This window comes from Homo sapiens, chromosome 7, assembly GCF_000001405.40.
Source record: "Homo sapiens chromosome 7, GRCh38.p14 Primary Assembly".
NCBI lineage: Eukaryota > Metazoa > Chordata > Mammalia > Primates > Hominidae > Homo > Homo sapiens.
Window position 1 is genome coordinate 98,921,695 of NC_000007.14, and position 21,351 is coordinate 98,943,045.

Sequence of the window (21,351 nt, forward strand, 5' to 3'; positions counted from 1 at the left end):
CGAACCTCGTGAAGGCATTACCTTAAGAGGACCTTAATGAAAGCACGCTGATTTTCAGGCTCTGTGGCGCACCTTACGCAACCCTGCTGACAGCATCTCCCACGTGGCCTACCGTGTGCTCGGTAAGTTTGGCGGCAGTAACAGGAAGATGCTGAAGGAGTCGCAGAAGCTGCACTACGTTGTGACCGAGGTTCAGGGCCCCAGCATCACTGTGGAGTTTTCCGACTGCAAAGCTTCTCTCCAGCTCCCCATGGAGAAGGTAAGCTCTGTGACAATGTCGTTTCGTTTTAAGCCTTGTGAAGATACTATGTTTCAGTCTATGTGAAATGTTAATTAGACCTGTGTCTTAGGCAATCTCTGAGTAGAACCAGTTGTATCAGGTGATCGGCCTGGTTGGCACAGGGGCTTTCCTAATGCCAGGAGACCAGTGGAGGGGTGTCACCTGAGAACTTGGTACTCTGGAGCAGCCCCCTCTCCTGGTGACCAAGAGGAGATGCCAGCCCATCCCGCCGTGAACTCCTTCCATTCTGATGCCTGGCAGGCTTACTGAGAACCTGAGTTGAGTCCATGCCTGTCTGTCTTCGCAGCCACACGCAGTGCCTCGCTTTCTCCCATTCTCTATCCAAACGCAGCTCGCACTGTCTCATTCCTGGCTCTCATCCCACTGCCAACAGCTCCTGGGTCTCTGTTAGGCCCTTTAGAGATCCTCGTTTTTACTGTGTAAAAAGCAGACAGTGCCCCCGCACCCTGCTGGAGTGTCCTGCCTGCTGCCTTTGCCCTGTCTGTGTTGAACACCCACCGTCTCTCCTCCCTGCCCTGCTGACTTTTCTGCTCCCTGTCCTAGTTCTGTGTCAGCATCATTCCATCGTCACGTTGGCTTTTCCCTCTGACTCTGTCACCAGTCCTTCCCCACATGGTGGCAGCATTTGTTTCCATGTCTTTGCAGGACATCATCTAGCTGTTGTGTATTGGGTATTTTTTTAAGGATATTATCGTAATGTTTGAGCGGATCCACGTGAGTTGGGCATTTCAGTAAGCTGGCTGCCTGCTGGGGTCCTGAGCCTCTTGCAGATCTGATCTTCAGCCAGCATCGTGTGGCCTGGAACTGCTCCAGGCCCTCCCTTTGCTCTGGCTAACTCCTCCCTGCCCTGTTGCATCATTGTGTAGTACTGGGTGTGTTTACCTTTGTAGAAGACGTGTGCCCATGTAGTGGCTTCTGTGTCCATAAGTAAACATTGGGGAGGGAGAAGCTGGTACAGATAAGCGTCACTCTGGAGTTGTTTTCTGTCATCATCTCAGTCAGCCTGTCCCCCGCAACTTCCTCAAGCCTATGCCTCATCCCCAGCCCTCCCCAACTCCTGCCTTATGAAGCACTGTTCCCTCTCCAGCCTCAGGGTGGGTGCAGTCTCAGCTTCTAACCCAAACCTTCATCCACATACTTTCCAAATGAATGCTACTCTCCTAAGAGAATTGGATGGCTAAAATTCTGTCTTTTGCGTATTTTATTTGACTCTGTATAGACAAAAAGCTCCCCCCACCCCCAAAAAATTCCCTTTAGAAGTAGTTTTGCCCCAAAGCAGCTGAAGTCTGGAAGAAATCAGGTTTTGCAGAGGTAGGATCGTAAAGGTCTGGGCCCCCTTACAGAGGCTCACCATGGTGCCTGTCAAGGCATTCTTTCTGAGCAGGACGCCATCCTGCCGGCACTGGCTGCAGCACACCTGGTATAGCTCATAGCTAAGGAGCCCATGAGGTAAAGGGAAAGATGAGCGTGGCTAAGCCAAGTGCCAGTGAGTTTCCATTAAACCATTCTGCTTTTGGCACACTTGGCAGTCCTTGATTCTTTTTGGCAGGTAATTGGCTCATATGTTATATTGATTCTGAAAAATAAAATTTTAGAAAGTACCACCATTTACAACTGCTACTGATCAGATCACATGCAGTTCCGCAATACCCTCGAAGAGCACGGACACTCAAGCTGGGGTTCATCCGGGGAGGAGCTGTTGTCATGCTTGTGTGCACTGCGTGTCTCTAAGCCTGGCAGGGGCTGGTGGGGAGGGCCTCTGTCCCTGTCATCACCCTCTCCTGGTTCCTCACACAGGGCCTGGGTAAATTTTTAACAAAGATTAGTTATTTGATTTATATGTACATAATTATTGTTAAGGTGAATGTCTTGGCTGTTAAAGGCTTCAGATTACTTTTGTGTGTGGTTGTGTCTTCGCCACTATCTCAGTCAACCCCATGAGAATGAATAGAATAAAAATGTGTGCATGTAGCTATGTAGGCTTTCTGAAAAAAATGATGTCAACCTTTTTCTTTCTTAAAGAATGAGTTTAGTAAAAGCTTAAGAAAGCCATCTTTCAGTTTTGAACCTAGGCACAGGAAAGTCTGCTTTGCAGAAAGTTCATTATTATTCTTGTTAGGATCTTGAAGAGCATGTAGGTGAGGCAGAATCTGGTTTAACCCAGCAAATCTTCCACAAGAGGCTCTCCGAGCTCACTTAGTTCCTGTAATCTGCCATTGGCTATTTGAACATGAAATTGTTAAACTCCATCTTGGCATTTTAATTTGAACTGTGCAATTCCTTGTTTTGTAATACTTCCACCGCCTCTTTTGGAAGCTTCACCAGGTGAATACCTATTAAAGCTGTATTAAAGCTGTATTGTATTAAAGCTGTAAAGTGTGTACCCACTGTGCTCTCTTCAAAAGAAAATATGCATGAGACTGGTGCCGTGGCTTAGTTGGTTAAGGCGCCTGTCTAGAAATGTGCATTAAGATTCTTCTGGGTGATTGAGACCATCCTGGCTAACACAGTGAAACCCCGTCTCTACTAAAAATACAAAAAAAATTAGCCGGGTGTGGTGGCTGGCACCTGTGGTCCCAGCTACTCGGGAGGCTGAGGCAGGAGAATGGCGTGAACCCGGGAGGCAGAGCTTGCAGTGAGCGGAGATGGCACCACTGCACTCCAGCCTGGGCGACAGAGCAAGACTCCGTCTCAAAAAAAAAAAAAAAAAAGGTTCTTCTGGGTGTGGCTGGGCGCGGTGGCTCATGCCTGTTATCCCAGCACTTTGGGAGGCCGAGGCGGGCAGATCACGAGGTCAGGAGATCGAGACCATCCTGGCTAACACAGTGAAACCCCGACTCTACTAAAAATACAAAAAACTTAGCTGGGCGTGGTGGCGGGCACCTGTAGTCCCAGCTACTTGGGAGGCTGAAGCAGGAGAATGGCGTGAACCCGGGAGGCAGAGCTTGCAGTGACCTGAGATACGCGCCACTGCACTCCAGCCCAGGCGACAGAGCGAGACTCCGTCTCAAAAAAAAAAAAAGATTCTTCTGGGTGCTGCAGATGCTTTCAGTGAAAGCTTTTCACAATCATGTAATTTCAGCACAAACTGTAGTTTCTTTGTGTCTTGGTTGTAGGCCATTGAAACTGCTCTGGACTGCCTGAAAAGCGCCAACACTGAGCCCTACTACCGGAGGCAGGCGTGGGAAGTGATCAAATGCTTCCTGGTGGCCATGATGAGCCTGGAGGACAACAAGCACGCACTCTACCAGCTCCTGGCACACCCCAAGTATGTCGGCCACTTCCTTCTGTGTGGTTGGGTGGATCCTGTTTTAGGAATTGGGGCTGCAGAGGGCCTCCCAGGTTTCCTGGTGCTAGGAGCAGGCTCCTTGAAGTCCAGCAGATGCCATATTATCTACCTACTCCTTCTTGTTGGGGCCTTAGAGAAAATGGAAAGGAGAACTGGGTGCTTGAGAATTAGAAGGGATCACAGTTGTCGCCTGCCTTTATTGTGTCTTGTCACCTCCTCCATTAGTTTGTAAGTGTGAAGAAATCAAGGGTCATGTCCCTTCTCCCTCCCTTTGTCTCACCATTCTGTCCACAGCAGCTGGCGCCTGAAAGGCATGCAGTGGACCCTCTGCATTTTCATTTCACAGTGATCTTTCTCCAGATATTTCTCATGTGATGTCTGTATCTTGCTCTTACCTCTTGAGACTGTGCATGACCTTAATGTAATGATCTTTTGAGGTAACACACACATACCATTTTTCTGCATTGTAAGTTTCAGGGGATGGATTTTTCCTATATATTTTCACATTCTTCACTGCATCAGAAGTGATGCTGAGTATATAGTAGGTGCTCAGTTGTTTAAAGGACATTGAAGAGAGAGGAGTCAAGGTAACCAAATGCACAAGGAAGTAAAGCAACATGAGTAAGAGCCAGCAGAATCAATGGAAGGCAGAAATAGACCCACACAGGCTTCAGGTGTTAGGATTATCAGAACTAGGTTGTAACTATGCTTAGAATGTTTAAATTAATGAAAGACAAACTGGAAAATACCTCCAAGAAACAGAAACCTATAAAAATTGCCCAAAAACTTAGAGAGAACCTTTAAGAAGTTGTCGAATACTTATCCAGAACACATGCAGAGAGAGAAAAGATGGAAAATTCAAGAGAGAGTAAGAGACATGAAGAGTAGAGGGAAGTAGCATCATTTACTTTTAACCCCTCAAAAAGAGCAGAGAGACATAATGACTGAGAATTTCCCAGAACTGATGAAAAAATTAAACAGTGTGCAGATCCGAGATGTTGAGTGAATCCAAAGCAGGATAAATAAAAAGAAATCCACAGAGACAAACTATAGTGAAACAACTACAAATCAGAAACAAAGGGAAAATCTTAAAAGATGGCAGAACAAAAAGATGACATTCAAATGAATGATCACTTGGAAGCTGTGAAAGCCACTGAACTGTGGAATAAACCTTTAGTTTGAAAAAAGAATTGCCAACTTAGAGTCATATATCTGGTGCAGTATGACCCATGAATAAGGATGAAATAAAGATGTTTTCAGATAAAAACAGAAATCTGCCACCAGCACATCTTCAGCAAAGAACATTCTAAAGGATGTTCATTCAGACAGAAAGTTCCTCCATGGAAGATTGAGGATGAGGGAAGGAAAAAGAGCCAAGAAAATGATAATTCGTGACCAAATCTAAATGGGATGCAGCTAAAGTGACACTCAGAGGGAAACTTACAGCCTGAAAAAACGTGCTGTAATCCCAGCACTTTGGGAGGCTGAGGCGGGGGTGGGTCACCTGAGGTCAGGAGTTCAAGACCATCGAGACCAGCCTGGCCAATATGGTGAAGTCCCATCTCTACTAAAAATACAAAAAAAATTAGCTGGGCGTGGTGGTGGGCACCTGTAATCCCAGCTACTTGGGAGGCTGAGGCAGGAGAATCGCATGAACCTGGGAGGTAGAGGTTGCAGTGAGCCAGGATCGCGCCATTGCACCCCAGCCTGGGTGACAGAGCGAGACTCCATCCAGGTGTTGCTGAAATTAAAGCAGATAAATTACCCAGGCCTGTCTGAATAAGAGGGAAGCAAGCAGATTAAAAATTTGAAAAGAAGTCCTAGTGGAGTCATCAGCTCAGGAGTTGGGTGTCGTGACACCAGATCTGATTTTGCCTTTCAGCTTTACAGAAAAGACCATCCCCAATGTTATCATCTCACATCGCTACAAAGCCCAGGACACTCCAGCCCGGAAGACTTTTGAGCAGGCCCTGACAGGCGCCTTCATGTCTGCTGTCATTAAGGACCTGCGGCCCAGCGCCCTGCCCTTTGTCGCCAGCTTGATCCGCCACTATACGATGGTGGCAGTCGCCCAGCAGTGTGGTGAGCACGGGGGCACGGTGGGGCACGGGATTGGTTCTTTGACTTTTATAGGTGCTTTAAAAACTTGCTCAGGACATTTTGTTGTTCTAGAAAAAGCTGAGTTTGGCTGATTGATTTTCGGCTTTTATTTTCCAATTTTCCATTTACGACATTGATAATTGGTATTTCAGTGGTGGGCACTATATCAGCTTGAAAGTTACTACCTACCAAGTTTTGTTTGTAAGATAGACCCAATTTAATAATACTTCTGTGTCCAAGTGCTTTGGGACAAGCTGCCTGTGAAACAGACAGTTTGTGTTCATACTCACTGCTCACCTTCCTCTGCCTGGCTGTGTTTTCCAAGGCCAGTCTTGCCCTCCAGAAACTTCTCCATCACCTGCTCCCTGCTCTCCAACCCATGCCTCGCAGTCTCCCCTGCGATGCCCGTTTCTGCTCCCAGGATCCTCATTCTGCTGTTCCTCCTGCCTGGAACGGCTGCTCACCTCCGTTTCAGTGGCTCTCACACTCTTGGTGGTGAAGGGCCACTTGTATTTGTTCACTTTTATTTCCGATCCATTGTAGGTGATGTCTTTGTAAAAGACAATAAAAATGGCCAGGCACGGTGGCTCACGCCTATAATCCCAGCACTTTGGGAGGCCGAGGTGGGCGGATCACCTGAGGTCGGGAGTTCGAAACCAGCCTGACCAACATGGAGAAATCCCGTCTCTACTAAAAATACCAAATTAGCTGGGCATGGTGGTGCATGCCTGTAATCCCAGCTACTCGGGAGGCTGAGGCAGGAGAATCGCTTGAACCTGGGAGGCGGAGGTTGTGGTGAGCAGAGATCGTGCCATTGTTCCAGCCTGGGCAACAAGAGCGAAACTCCGTCTCAAAAAGAAAAAAAAAGACAAAAAAAATGTCATGCCACTGCCAGTTGCTACATAAGTTTCTGAAAACCTACTGTCAATTTCAGCATCTCCTCCCAGACCAGTCACAGTTCGTCTGCAGACCGCACTGGAGTAGCACTGCCCAGTTGGTGTCCTCAAAGCCCCTCACCCTTAAGATCAACCAGCAGAGCACATAGAATTTTCCCCTTTAACTTTTCTTGGCCTGACGGGTCAATACTGTACAATTTAGCACTTTGATTGTTTCTCAGTGTTTGTTCTTTGTTAACATTGTCTTTCTGGCAAAACTAAGCTTCTCAGTAACTTCCACCTTGGACCTGGGTACCTCCGAGGCATTACCTAATAATGCTGTGGCCGACTGTTCTCTGCCATAGCTGGATGCCGTTGCTTTTTGTTGTTGTATGTTAGGAATATCCGGAGCATAACCCATGGTCATTCCCATATTCTGCCCCTTGGCCTATTTAATAATTTTTTTAAAAAATGTTACCCCATTGTGGTTTTCTTTATTTTTTTTTTAATTTTTGTTTTGTTTTGCTTTTTAGATACAGAGTCTCACTTTGTTGCCCAGGCTGGAGTGCAGTGGCGTGGTCATGGCTCACTGCAGCCTCTACCTGCTGAGCTCAAGTGATCCTCCTGCCTCATCCTCTTGAGTAGCTGGGACTACAGGCATGTAACACCACGCCCGGCTAATTTTTTTTTTTTTTTCAGACGGGGTCTTGCTCTGTCGCCCAGGCTGGAGTGCAGTGGTGCGATCTCAGCTCACTGCAACCTCTGCCTCCCGGGTTGAAGTGATTCTCCTCCCTCACCCCTCCTGAGTAGCTGGGATTACAGGCACCTACCACCACGCCCGGGTAATTTTTTTGGTATTTTTAGTAGAGACGGGGTTTCACCACATTGGTCAGGCTGGTCTCATACTCCTGACCTCATGATCCACCCGCCTCGGCCTCCCAAAGTGCTGGGATAACAGGTGTGAGCCACCACACCCAGCCCACGCCCAGCTAATTTTTAAAAAAATTTTTATGGAGATGCATCTCATTATGTTGCTCAGGCTGGTCTTGAACTCCTGGCCTCAAGTGATTCCCCTGCCTTGGCTTCCCAAAGTACTGGGCTTATTTAATTGTAAAAGATTATGAAAGTGGCAAAGTGGCATGAGCCACTGTGGTTCTCATTTTGAACTAATATATTTTTGAGTTATGATTGAGATACATGAAAATAACACAGTGTATCATAGAAAACGTTCAGAAAAATACAGCCTAAAGGCATATCAGACCACTTAATTTACACATAATTGCAGTTTAACAGAAGTTGGCTTGAAATCTCAGTGGTGGCTTTTTATGGAGTTTCTTTTTTTTTTAATTTATTTTTTTTTTGAGACGGAGTCTCACTCTGGCGGCCAGGCTGGAGTGCAGTGGTGTGATCTGCAACCTCCGTCTCCTGGGTTCAAGTGATTCTCCCGCCTCAGCCTCCTGAGTAGCTGGGATTACAGGCGCCTGCCACCATGCCTGGCTAATTTTTGTATTTTTAGTAGAGATGGGGTTTCACCATGTTGGACTAGGCTGGTCTCAAACTTCTATGTCAAGTGATCCTCCTGCCTCGGCCTCCCAGAGTGCTGGGATTACGGGTGTGAGCCGCCGTGCCCTGCTTTTTATGGAGTTTCTAACTTCAAGGAAAACATTGGGGAGTTCTGCAGTTTGAGGGACAAGACTGTTCTCACGTGCCTTCCCATCTCTCCTTTTAGGCCCTTTCTTGCTGCCTTGCTACCAGGTGGGCAGCCAGCCCAGCACAGCCATGTTTCACAGTGAAGAAAATGGCTCGAAAGGAATGGATCCTTTGGTTCTCATTGATGCAATTGCTATTTGTATGGCATATGAAGAAAAGGAGCTTTGCAAAATCGGGGAGGTGGCCCTAGCTGTGATATTTGATGTTGCAAGTATCATCCTGGGCTCCAAGGAGAGGGTAAGGAAGGGTTGAGGAGTGTCTTCTGATTTGGAGGGTGTCTGTACCTGAGAGTGGTCCTTCTAGAAACTGATAGTTTAAGAATTGCGGCCAGACGCAGTGGCTCACGCCTGTAATCCCAGCACTTTGAGAGGCCAAGGCGGGCGGCTCACCTGAGGTTGGGAGTTCGAGACCAGCCTGACCAACATGGAGAAACCCCGTCTCTACTAAAAATAAAAAAAATTAGCCAGGCGTGGTGGCGCATGCCTGTAATCCCAGCTACTCGGGAGGCTAAGGCAGGAGAATCACTTGAACCTGGGAGATGGAGGTTGCGGTGAGCCGAGATCACACCATTGCACTCCGGCCTGGGCAATAAGAGCGAAACTCTGTCTCAAAAAAAACAAGAATTGCAGTAACGTGTTGTGGTTTGTTCATTTTCCTCTCCAGGCCTGCCAGCTGCCCCTGTTTTCTTACATCGTGGAGCGCCTGTGTGCATGTTGTTATGAACAGGCGTGGTATGCAAAGCTGGGGGGTGTGGTGTCTATTAAGTTTCTCATGGAGCGGCTGCCTCTCACTTGGGTTCTCCAGAACCAGCAGACATTCCTGAAAGCACTTCTCTTTGTCATGATGGACTTAACTGGAGAGGTAGGTGATGGGTGGCCCCAAACCTAACCATGCTGTTTTTGAAATGGTGGTTTCCTGAAGAATACTATAAGATCCTTCTGCAAATATGCTCTCCTAGCAGCATGGTGACTTTGATACTCAGATTTCATTTCAGCATCTTCACTAAAAGGACAGCTCAGAGCTCCCATAGGCCTTCTGTGGGTATCTAAATACCTGTTTGCTTTGATAAAGAACAGTTACAGGCCACAGTGTTTACCACAGTGTGTCTGAAAAGGGGAATTCTGCTTCTCATGTGCTGTTTCCGGAGGAGCTGCATTCTTAAACCTATGCAGATATGACTCACACCAGTAGAACATGATGGGCATTGCCAGCTTATCTGGTGAATGCAGGGGTCACATTTGGATCCACATTTTCTGATTAGGTGACTTAGGGACTAAAGCACCAAGTGGGTGCCGTGAAGTCACCTCATTAAAGCAGCTGGCGAGAAGGGCATGGACCCCAGTGACAGTCTTTATGGCAGACAGGTGTGCAGGAGACGGCAGTTGCAGTGGGTGGCATCGCCCTGCTTTCATTCTAAGACATCCCTGACTTGCAGGTTTCCAATGGGGCAGTCGCTATGGCAAAGACCACGCTGGAGCAGCTTCTGATGCGGTGCGCAACGCCTTTAAAAGACGAGGAGAGAGCCGAAGAGATCGTGGCCGCCCAGGAAAAGTCTTTCCACCATGTGACACACGACTTGGTTCGAGAAGTCACCTCTCCAAACTCCACTGTGAGGAAGCAGGCCATGCATTCGCTGCAGGTGTTGGCCCAGGTCACTGGGAAGAGTGTCACGGTGATCATGGAACCCCACAAAGAGGTGAGATTTCTGTCACCAGAACCAAGGTAATTTCAACAAAACTTTTGAGCCTTTTTTTTAAATTTGAGTTGAGGTGATACTCCGTTTATAATTTTGTGTCTTGGTATCTGTGGGGCCTTGGTTCCAGGACCCTGCGTGGGTACCAAAATCTGGGATGCTCAAATATCTGATGTAAAATGGTGTGATATTTGTATATAACTTATGCACATATTCTGTGTACTTTATTTATTGATTTATTTTTTCTTTTTTAAAGCTTTTTTATTTTCATTTTTTTTTTGAGACAGTCTCACTCTGTTGCCCAGGCTGGAGTGCAATCCTAGCTCACTGCAGCCTGGAACTCCTGGGCTCAAGTGATCCTCCTGCCTCAGCCTCCTAAGTAGCTGGGACTACAGACACACACCACCACGCCTGGCTAGTTTATTTTTTATTTTTTTTTAACTTTTATTTATTTATTTAATTATTTATTTTGAGACAGAGTCTCGCTGTTGCTCAGGCTGGAGTGCAGTGGCATGATCTTGGCTCACTGCAAGCTCTGCCTCCCAGGTTCACGCCATTCTCCTGCCTCAGCCTCCCAAGTAGCTGGGACTACAGGTGCCCACCACCACACCCGGCTAATTTTTTGTATTTTTAGTAGAGATGGGGTTTCACAGTGTTAGCTAGGGTGGTCTCGGTCTTCTGACCTCATGATCCGCCTGCTTTGGCCTCCCAAAGTGCTGGGATTACAGGCATGAGCCACTGCGCCCAGCCTATTTTTTTTAACTTTTAAAATTATTTCTTTTCTTTAAGGAAATTATCATCCAGCCCAAAATGTCATTTTCTTCTTTGTAATTAAAAAATTTTTTTCCAGCTATTTTTTTTTATAAAGATGGGCTCTCACTATGTTGCCCAGTCTGGCCTTGAACTCCTGGGGTCGAGCAGTCCTCCCATTTCAGCTTCCCAAAGTGTTGGGATTACAGGCGTGAGCCACCGTGCCTATCCTTAAATTTTTATGGGTACATGAAAATTTGTATAATCTCCCATATACTTTAAATTAGTTCTAGATTACTTATAATACCTAATACAATGTAAATGCTATGTAAATAGTTACACTTTAATAGTTTGTTTTTTCTTGTCACGTTATTTTTTATTTTTTCCTCAAGTATGTTTTCTCCTTGCTTGGTAGCATCTGAGGATGCAGAACCACAGACACAGAGGGCTAGCTCTACCGTTGTGCCTGCTCTTTATGACTTGAGATTTGCAAAAAACAGTGTACTTCAAGAGAGTAGAGGGTAGCATTCCTGAGGCTATAGCACAGTCTGGTAGTTTTATTCTTGTTTTGTTGTGGTTTTGTCTTTTGTTTTGGATTTTTTTTTTTTTTAATTTTTAAAGAGAGAGAGGTTACGCTGTACCTTTAGGAACTAACATCTTACATGCCTCTCCACGACCGAGGTTTTGCACATGAAATGTATCTCCCGTTCCCTAATGAGAAGATATCTGTAATAACTTTGGATCTCAAACATGGTTTTCACATTTTTAAAAAGTGTTTGTGTCTCAAGGGGCAGCTGGTGAGTGGTGCCTCCTCCTTGGCTTCCCCAGGTCCTGCAGGATATGGTCCCCCCTAAGAAGCACCTGCTCCGACACCAGCCTGCCAACGCACAGATTGGCCTGATGGAGGGGAACACGTTCTGTACCACGTTGCAGCCCAGGCTCTTCACAATGGACCTTAACGTGGTGGAGCATAAGGTGTTCTACACAGAGGTAGGGGGGTGGTGGTGCGGAGTGGTGTGGATGGTGATGACGTGTGTCTGCTAGCCTGTCTTTGTACGCGAAGACTGGTCAGGCAGCATTCAGAGAAGGCTCGGGCGGGGACCTGCAGGTAACCCACTGACACCTGGCACAGCAACCTGAGCAGGTATGTTGCGTCTGGGCTCGGGCGGAAGGGAGGTATGGCCAGCAGAGACGCTGATGTCTTGTGAGTTCTCAGAACTCTGTTAGCCCCAACAGGAATCTTTGCTTGAATTTAGGGCCTCAAGGTTGTATTTTAAAGATGAAGCTGCACCCAGTTGCTTTAATCATTCTTAGATCAGCTGGCCCGGCACAAGTGCCAATTTATTGCATTCATTAATCACTGAAATGTGCCATGTGCTGTTGAGAACATCACACAAGTGCCCTAAGTTCTGACAGCACCCCCTGAAGTGTAGGGGTTGAGCTGTTTGTTCTTACTTTGAAGGTGTGGAAACTGAGGCTTAGAGTTTGCTGATTACCCAAAGCCACAGGGCAGGTGAGCTGGAGAGCTTGAATTTAAGCCAGGACTGTTATTTAGAGCATGATTCCTAATCACTGCACTGTCCAGCCGAGTTCTTATTTTTTTTAGTGGACTTGATTTGTCCCTTGACCCAAACACGGACCCTGGCAGATGGCATCTTATGAGTATTTGTCACTGTAAACATTCCAGTGTGGGGTGCTATTAGTCTGACAAACAGGAATGAAACTGTGGGTGTTGCCAAATTATAAGCAACATCTTTAGAATACAGTAGTGGTCTGGTGATCAGATAAAATTTAAAATTTTTATGGGACATGAATCACACTTGCAGAGGCATTGTCAGAGTATACCGCGGCAAAAATCAGAAGAAAGCAAATTCTTCCAGGTCCATACTGTCTGAATTTCTGATTATGAAAATTTACCTCTTGACATTTTAAGGTCCTGTTTTTGCTTGGACATATGGTTATAGGATCATATGATCTGGCTCTGATCTTTATACCTTATCATTTGTAAGGCTTGACAGAAGGTCAAGACCTTTAGGAAATGCATAACTTCCCTTGGCTGATCTAGAGACAGATGTATTTTAACCTGCATGGAAAACTCCTCACTGCACTTAAGACCAGAGCCTGGCAGTATTGAGGGCATGAAACTGGTTTTCCAGATGTCTCTCAGTGCCTGGCTGCATCAGAACACGTGCGGATCTTTTGAAAAGCATGGACTCGAGTCCTTTCCTTGGAGATTCAGGTTCAGTCCATTTGGGTGAGACCTGGGAATCCACTGTCTGAAAGCTTCCCAGGTGATGCTGTGTGGCTGTGTTGGGGTTTTGTTTTGTAGTTGACTTCTCTCTCTCCATACCTGCACGCATATATACACGCATGCCCTTATATGTGAGGAGAGTATTTTTGAAGGTCATACAAGGCCCTAGCAACAGTGGTTTCCTCTGGGCAGTGGAATGGGGTGGGTGGCTTGAAGTGCTTTTCACTCTGTATCCTTTTCTGCTGTTTTAAGTCTTTTACCAGGTTGGAATCTTTTAAGGGGGAAAAATGATATTAGCCTATACTAGTTTTCCAGGATGTGAATGAAGAGAAGGGGGAAATAGTGATAGAGCACGATATCTGTTATTTAGATAACAGATAGAGAAATATCTACTTGTGTGGTAAAATATCTGGAAGGATAGCCACTGGAATTCCCAGTGATGTTCAGCTTCCTACTTTATGCTTTTCTGTACTTGAAAAAAAAAAGTGTGTTCACTTAAATATTTGAATTATAGCCCATCTGTTTCTTGAACACTTGTCTGAGGCCCTGGGGAGGCTGATCTGAACCAGGAAGACACGGCCCTGCCATCATGGGATTTGCAGTTAGATAAAGTAACCCCCTGTTTTGAGGAGAAAAAAAAACGTGATGGTATCAGAGTGGGTGAGAAAAAAACATGGTGGTATCAGAGTGGGTGAGAAAGTGTCTAAGAATTCTTTCCACTAATGAAGTAAACTGAGTTTTGCCTTAAAGAGGCTCAGTCATACTTTGATACTTAAAATCTTTAGGATTTGAGCTTAGTTTGTCAGTTGTTAATTGTGTTGCAGTGTGTGGAAGATTGCTGTGTTCTGTTATTTGCAAGGTTATTATGTCTTCACAGGAAGAGTGGGCTAAATGAAATTGTTTTATCTTTTGCAGCTGTTGAATTTGTGTGAGGCTGAAGATTCAGCTTTAACAAAGCTGCCCTGTTATAAAAGCCTTCCGTCACTCGTACCTTTACGAATTGCGGCATTAAGTAAGTTAATGAAAATCTACGGGGTATAAAAGTGAAAGGAGACTGACCACAGGAGGTCTATAGAAAAAAAAAGTGGCCTTTTGTTGTTGTCTAATTTTTATGACTTTTTGTAGTCTTTTTAAGATGGGATCAAAAAATTATTTTTGTATGTTTATCAAACTGTGTAATGAGATGCCATAAAATTACATGTGTTGTTAGGATTGAAGTAATTTTGTGCTTTATAGTAAAGTCTGTTGTTGTTTTATGAATCAGACGTTCTGGTTTAAAAGGATTGTCGTATCATTCATATGGTGCCAGAATCAGAGTGTATATATAGTAAGGGACATGACAGCCTTAGAAGCTTTTCAATGACTCAAGCATTTGTTAATCCTGCAGTCTCTAGCTTTTCACTGGGAAACCTCAGTTATCATTGTCAAGCACAGGAATGATGCAAAGTGTAGGAAAATAGACTAGATCTGTATTGGCTGAGATAGAAACAATCATTTTCTTTCTAGTGGGGAGTGAAGGTGAATACCCAATACAAACTTTTTTGGTTGACTCTCTCCTGCTTTGTTGATTTTTATGCTCTTAATAACATATTTCCAGAATCTTTCTTGAGTTAGAGGTGGAGAGCTTAGAGGCAGACCATAATACCTGAGCTAGAAGATGGGGTGGAGTGTTCCAGACAGTGCAAGCCAAAGCCAACAGGGGGACCAGGGGTGACTGGCAGCTTTCTTCTTCTCTTGGGGTCCCTTCTTTGGGGAACTCTCCTGTGCCTCCTTCCTGTTAGCCATTGTGGGTGCTACTTTTGCTAGAATGAATGTTACCTGTCACCTGACATAGAAGGTTGAGGTGTGTCTCCTTCCCTAAGAATATTTGCCTTTTGAAAGTCTTAAAGCCTTTTACCCTCAAAGCTGGGTAGTGAAGAAAGGCTGGGCTGTGTGTGTCTGTCCCCTGCATTGCCTGTCACTGGAGGACCAGAGACCGTGCCATCAGCCTTGTTCAGATGGGCCTGTCCTGGATCCAGCCACCCCATTACCCTATGAAGGTGTCCTGGGATAGGGGTGTCAGTGGGGTCTCTCTTCTTCCCCCTCAAGCTTTCTTCTTCTCATCTGAAGACGTAAGATTTATCATGGCTTTTCTGGCAGGCTGGACTTCACTCTTAGATTATACTCAACATGTGGATGGAAGACCATGTGTACTTTTGTCTTTCTCAGGGCCAAACACTAGGAAAGAGGGCTCGTGGTTCATATTTTTTGCTGGTTGGTAGGAGCCTTTGGGAAAGAAAATTCAGCCGGGGGCAGTGGCTCACAGCTGTAATCCTAGCACTGGGGAGGCCAGGGCAGGAGAATCCCTTGAGGCCAGGAGTTAGAGATGAACCTGGGCAACATAGCAAGACACCTTCTCTACCAAATAATAATAATAAATAAATACAGAGAAGAAAATTATTTGGGCATCTTTCCAGTTAATAATGGAATTGTCTTGATTTCTCTCCCTGAAGATGCACTTGCTGCCTGCAATTACCTTCCTCAGTCCAGGGAGAAAATCATCGCTGCACTCTTCAAAGCCCTGAATTCCACCAATAGTGAGCTCCAAGAGGCCGGAGAAGCCTGTATGAGAAAGGTGAGTGTGTGTGCGTGCGTGTATGCGCACGCGTGTGTGCACACACATGTGTGTGTACTCTGCATTAAGAGTTCTTCCTGTTTATTGCTATATAAACAGTGTATGCCTAAAAGGCTTTATGCATGTGGTTATTACACACTAAACTGTAATAAGAATATACCTGTTTCATAGTCATACTGAGTTTTTTAAAATATTAAACAGTAAAGATAAGTCTCCATCATTTCGTCATAAATTTCTGAAATAGTATATGATTAATATTCCATCTTCCTAAAGGAGAACGGAAACTTGCAGCTAAGGTTGAAGATGAGTTCTGTTCTATTATGAAGTGTCCTCAGTTGTCTATTTTTCTTTACAACTTTTCTTTTTTAATAGTTTTTAGAAGGTGCTACCATAGAAGTCGATCAAATCCACACACATATGCGACCTTTGCTGATGATGCTGGGAGATTACCGGAGCTTGACGCTGAATGTTGTGAATCGCCTGACTTCGGTCACGAGGCTCTTCCCAAATTCCTTCAATGATAAATTTTGTGATCAGATGATGGTAAGCCAAATGCATTTAAACGCTCTGTAACAAACTTTCAAAAAATTAAATTATTTTAAAAATAAATAATGCAGCTGGGCACAGTGGTTCACGCCTGTAATCCCAGCACTTTGGGAGGCCGAGGTGGGTGGATCGCTTGCAGTTGGGAGTTCGAGACCAGACTGGCCAACATGGTGAAACCCCTCTCTACTAAAAATACACAAATTAGCCTGGTGTGGCAGCGTGCATCTGTAATCCCAGCTACTTAGGGAGGCTGAGGCAGGAGAATCACTTGAATCTGGGAGACAGAGGTCGCAGTGAGCCAAGATTGTGCCACTGCACTCCAGCCTGGGCAACGAGTGAAACTCCATCTCAAAAAAAGAAAATTAGCCAGGCTTAGTGGCACGTGCCTGTGGTCCCAGCTTCTTGGCTTGGAGGCTGAGGTGGGAGGATCACCTGAGCATGGGAGGCAAAGGTTGCAGTGAGCCGAGATGGCATCACTGCACCCCAGTCTGGGTGACAGAGCAAGACCCTGCCTCAAAAAATAAATAAATAAAAACAATGCATTCAGATGGCTTAAAATTGAAAAGGTGTAAAAGGATGTACTGCAGAAAGCCTCCCTCCCACCCTGTCCTCCAGCTACCCAGTCCCCTCCCTGAGACAGCCAGGGTTAAGACTTTGTTGTGTATCCTTTTAGAGATGTTTTATATATGTAAGAGGACATATGTGTATATATTTTTTCCTATAAAAGGGGGTACAATATATATATACACAGTCCTTGCTTTTCCCATTTAACAGCCATCATTTCATGTCAGTACCTGAAGTACTTCATTCTGCTTTATGGCTGCAGAATACCTCATGACATGAACTTGCCATAATTTATTTAACCATGGCCTCACTGGTGAACATTTAGATTGTTCCCAGCCTTTTCATTATATACCATGATGCACTGAAAGACTTGTTCATAATTTCACATGCTTTTATCTGTGGTGTACATTTCTAGTTGTAGAATTTCTGGATCAAAAGAATGTATGCATTTTAATCTTTCAACACCTTGTCAAATTGCTCTCCAAAGAAATTTTTACCAATATACACTCCTACAAAATAGATAAGTGTGCCTTCTTTCATACAGTCTTGGGTGAGAACATTGGAAGTCCTTTGGGTTTTTAGAATTACCAGAGAAATAATTATGCAGGAAAAAACCCATTTGACAGTGTTTAAAATTGAAATGTAAGCGGATGGAGGATTTCATCTGTTAGCTTTCTTTTGCATTCAATTTTGCTTCTGGTAAATGGATTTATAAATAATAAACAGGATTTAATGGTCCACCACTGCAAACATGAATGTATTTTTCATGCTTATGTTTCCCAAGTAGCCTTTGACCATTTGACGTTTTAAGATACTGGAGCTACTTTTTTATTTTTGGTGTACCTTTCCCCCAACTATAAACAGGAGTTTATATCTACTGATGGACAGATAAGGTAGAGATTGCATTATGTAGAGAGAGATATTGCAGGTATGGATACATTGTGTGTGATACAGTGTATCACAGTGCACAGATACATTGTATTTATCTACACATGGAATGTAGAGAAATCTCTCATATATGAAAGACACGTAGCTTTTTACCTCATCTATATGCTAGTTTCTTCATATCTACAAGTACCTAAATAATAATGACCCAAATACTAAAATTGTAAGTTATGCCCTAATAATACATTATAATTGAAAAACAAAGTATAATATGGAAGTGAATTTTCCAAATTGGGGACTTTCACCTTAAGCTTCCAAATATATGTAATACACATACACACCTATCAGTTTCCATATATTCCATATATTCACAAGAGTGGCTAAAATAAATATATAAAGTTACATCACTTCCTAATCAGAGCTCATCCAATAAACACTTTATCTTACATCCTGTATTACGGCTGAGGTGCTTTCACACATGAGGCCCATGAGCTCTATGCATGTGTCCAAATGTCCTAATGCTTTTGTGTATGTCTCCTCTTGAAAAGTCGTCTGTCATTTTTTGCTGCCTTTGTATGCTTGCCTGAAGCAGCTTTGGTTTGTTTGTTTATTTTTATTTTTATTTTTGAGACAGAGTATGGCTCTGTTGCCCAGGCTGGAGTGCAGTGGTGTGATCTCGTCTCATTCCTACCTCTGCCTCCCGGGTTCAAGTGATTCTCCTGCCTCAGCCTCCCAAGTAACTGGGATTACAGGTGTCTGCCACCACACCCAGCTAATTTTTTGTATTTTTAATAGAGACTGGGTTTTCACCGTGTTGGCCAGGCTGGTGTTGAACTCCTGACCTCAAGTGATCCACCTGCCTTGACTTCCTGAAGTGCTGGGATTACAGATGTGAGCCATTGTGCCTGGCCTGTTTGTTTGTTTATTTGTTTATGAGACAGAGTCTCACTCTGTCACCCAGACTGGAGTACAGTGGCGCGATCTCGGCTCACTGGAACCTCTGCCACCTGGGCTCAAGTGATTCTCCTGCCTCAGCCTCCCAAGTAGCTGGGATTATAGGCACCTGCCGCCACGCCCAGCTAATTTTTTGTATTTTTAGTAGAGACGGGGCTTCGTCATGTTGGCCAGGCTGGTCTTAAACTCCTGACCTCATGTGAACCACTGCGCCTGGCCCAGCCTGTTTATTTTTAGTCCCCAGTCTAACCCTTCAGACCTGCTGTGAGCTGGGAATTCATTCAGTGAACATTGTTACCCAGATTTTTTTTTAGTGCAGTACGAAGACAGCTGCCTTAATGTCTGTAGTTTCTGACCAAGGCCAGTGTTCTTTCTGCCTAAAATAAATCACATGGGTTTTGTGTTAATGGTTCATTTAGGTGAATTTTTTCCTCCCTTTTCTGCTCTCTGAGTGGTTCAAACTGGAGGAGTTTGCATCCAGACGTTTTCATCCAGCATCCACCTGGACTTAACGTTGACGGTGCCTTTGCGCTTAGTGGCAGAGGTCTTCCTGAATTACACCTGCCTGCTGTGCTCTGCCAGAGGCAGTGGTAAGGGACACACTTTTCCCTACTTAATCATGTTCTTCAGAACCAAGTTCAGTCACTGCTGGAGCTCTTGTTTTCCCTCATAAGCCTTCGAGTTTAATAGCTCAAGCCATCAGCAGAATTTTAAGAGCCAAGGCACCTTACTTTTAGGGTGTGCATTCATGAAAACAACCCTGAAAATTTACCTTTCTTTAAGAGTTTTAGAGTTTTAGCTCTTACATTTAGGTCTTTGGCCCATTTTGAGTTCATTTTTGTATATGGCATTAGATAATGGTCCAACTTCATTCTTTTGCATATGATGTTCAGTTTCCTTAAGATTGAGTTACCTGACATATGATTATTAAGTCTTTTATGTGGTTCGTTGGTTTTTCTGTTTGTTTGAGACAGGGCCTTGCTCTGTGTCCCAGGCTGGAGTGCAGTGGCGTGATCATAGCTCACTGCAACCTCCATCTCCTGGGTTCAAGCAATCCTCCCACCTCAGCCTCCTCAGCAGCTGAGATTACAGGCATGCGCCACCGTGCCCGGCTAGTTTTTGCGTTTTTAGTAGAGACCAGGTCACACCATGTTGGCCTGGCTGATCTAAAACTTCTGACCTCAGTTGATCTGTACACCTCCCAAAGTGCTGGGATTACAGGAGTGAGCTACCGCGCCTGGCCATGTGCTTGATTGGCTTGAATATTTCCTCATCAAACTAAAGATGAATTTTATATACCCATTAGTGTCATTTTATTCCTTTGGGAAAAAAAGAATGGTGATGTGGCTGGCTGTTGTCTACCCCTTTAATTCTGTTACTCTCATTTACATCTTTGTGTAAGGAGCCATTCTGGTAAGGAGTAGGGTTCATGAATTTCTGTTCTGGTGATTAATATCTTTCAGGGAATGTTGTTGGTAAAATGTTGAGTGCTTTGAAGAAATGTGTATTATTGTATGCATTTCTCAATGCCAGTGTTCCCTGGAACACTGACTCCGCACGATGTCGGTGTTTCATGAAGACCAGTTCATTGGCCACGTAAGGTTGGGAAACGCGGCTTCTCAAAGTTTGACATGGACTGTAAGGACATTAAAGGCTCAGAGAAGGCTTGTCTTAGAGAAGAGTTTTTAAGGTGTCCAAACCATTGTTCCCCATTCCTGTTTTACTATGGAAACCTTTTTAAAGCAGCTTGCTAACTTCCTGTAGGACTTCGGTGTTGTGAAGGGCAGGTTTGAACAACGCAGGGTAATAAATATGCAACTGTTATTGAATGCTCTTCTTGTGGTTTTAGCTTTAAGGCCCGGGCATTTGTCTGCCTGGTTTTGCTGGACACAGAGGCTGGAGCCTGGCTACCAGGTGCCTGGGTTAAGCTAAAGTCTGGGGTCTCTTCCCATACACTTAAATGCAGAGTCTCTTGCTGAAGCATGGCCCTCATTCTGCAGAGGGAATTGTGGCCCTATGGCACTCACTTGCACAGTTCCTGACCAAGTGGGGTCCACATCTATCTCACCAGCCCCTTCCCTAGGGTCCCCATTGTGCCCACTGCTCCCCCGCGTGGCCACCGTTCCTTCTGTGCTGTCAGGGCCTTTGCCCTCCTCTTCTCTCTGCCCTTCTGCTTCTGGCATTCCTGCCTTCTCTAGTCCCATCCTCAGCAGGAGGACCCCGACCCCCTCCTTTCTCATCCAGAGCTGGTTCCTGTCTTCCTCTTACAACACTGTAATTGTAGCTACACACAGCAGGCACCTTTATGTTTACCTTTTTCCTCATCAGACCACGGGCTCCGCAAGGAGAGGGACATCATGACAGGGATGATGTCGGCCGTTCATGTCTCTACTGTGACACCCAGTGTGGGAGCCGACACTTCCAAGCACTCAGTGAACAGCTAGGAAACAAGTTAACAGGAAGTAAAATGGCAGGGCATGGTATTGGAACACCCGGGAGTCAGGGCGTTTCCTTCTGTGTCAGAGCAAGGCAGGCTTTTTATTTTGAAACATGAACAAATGCCAGTTATTCTCATCACTAGTTAGATGGTTGCGCTGTTTTAATAATGGAAACACTGCAGTTCTCACACTAAACACGATGGAAATGAATGATTACATAGTAGTTTCCACCAGTGGAATGCACCTACTGTGAAGTTGTGTCTCAGGATGTGTTTTTCCAACAGCAACATCTGCGCAAGTGGATGGAAGTGGTGGTGATCACCCACAAAGGGGGCCAGAGGAGCGACGGAAACGTGAGTGACTTGTTTGTTTCTGGGAAGG

At 45.0% G+C, this 21,351-nt stretch overlaps 1 protein-coding gene across 3 annotated transcripts in view; it reads left to right on the top strand.

The window, feature by feature from the left end:
• TRRAP (transformation/transcription domain associated protein) overlaps positions 1-21,351 on the top strand; it is a 134,710-nt gene that overhangs the window by 43,163 nt on the left and 70,196 nt on the right. For all 3 annotated transcript variants that reach the window (NM_001375524.1, NM_001244580.2, NM_003496.4), the window contains exons 21-31: positions 59-259; positions 3,418-3,569; positions 5,473-5,672; positions 8,295-8,512; positions 8,939-9,136; positions 9,711-9,971; positions 11,547-11,708; positions 13,885-13,981; positions 15,462-15,583; positions 15,956-16,126; positions 21,255-21,323. In NM_001375524.1, the coding sequence (NP_001362453.1) occupies positions 59-259; positions 3,418-3,569; positions 5,473-5,672; positions 8,295-8,512; positions 8,939-9,136; positions 9,711-9,971; positions 11,547-11,708; positions 13,885-13,981; positions 15,462-15,583; positions 15,956-16,126; positions 21,255-21,323 (1,851 nt within the window). The remainder of the gene's footprint in view (positions 1-58; positions 260-3,417; positions 3,570-5,472; positions 5,673-8,294; positions 8,513-8,938; positions 9,137-9,710; positions 9,972-11,546; positions 11,709-13,884; positions 13,982-15,461; positions 15,584-15,955; positions 16,127-21,254; positions 21,324-21,351) is intronic.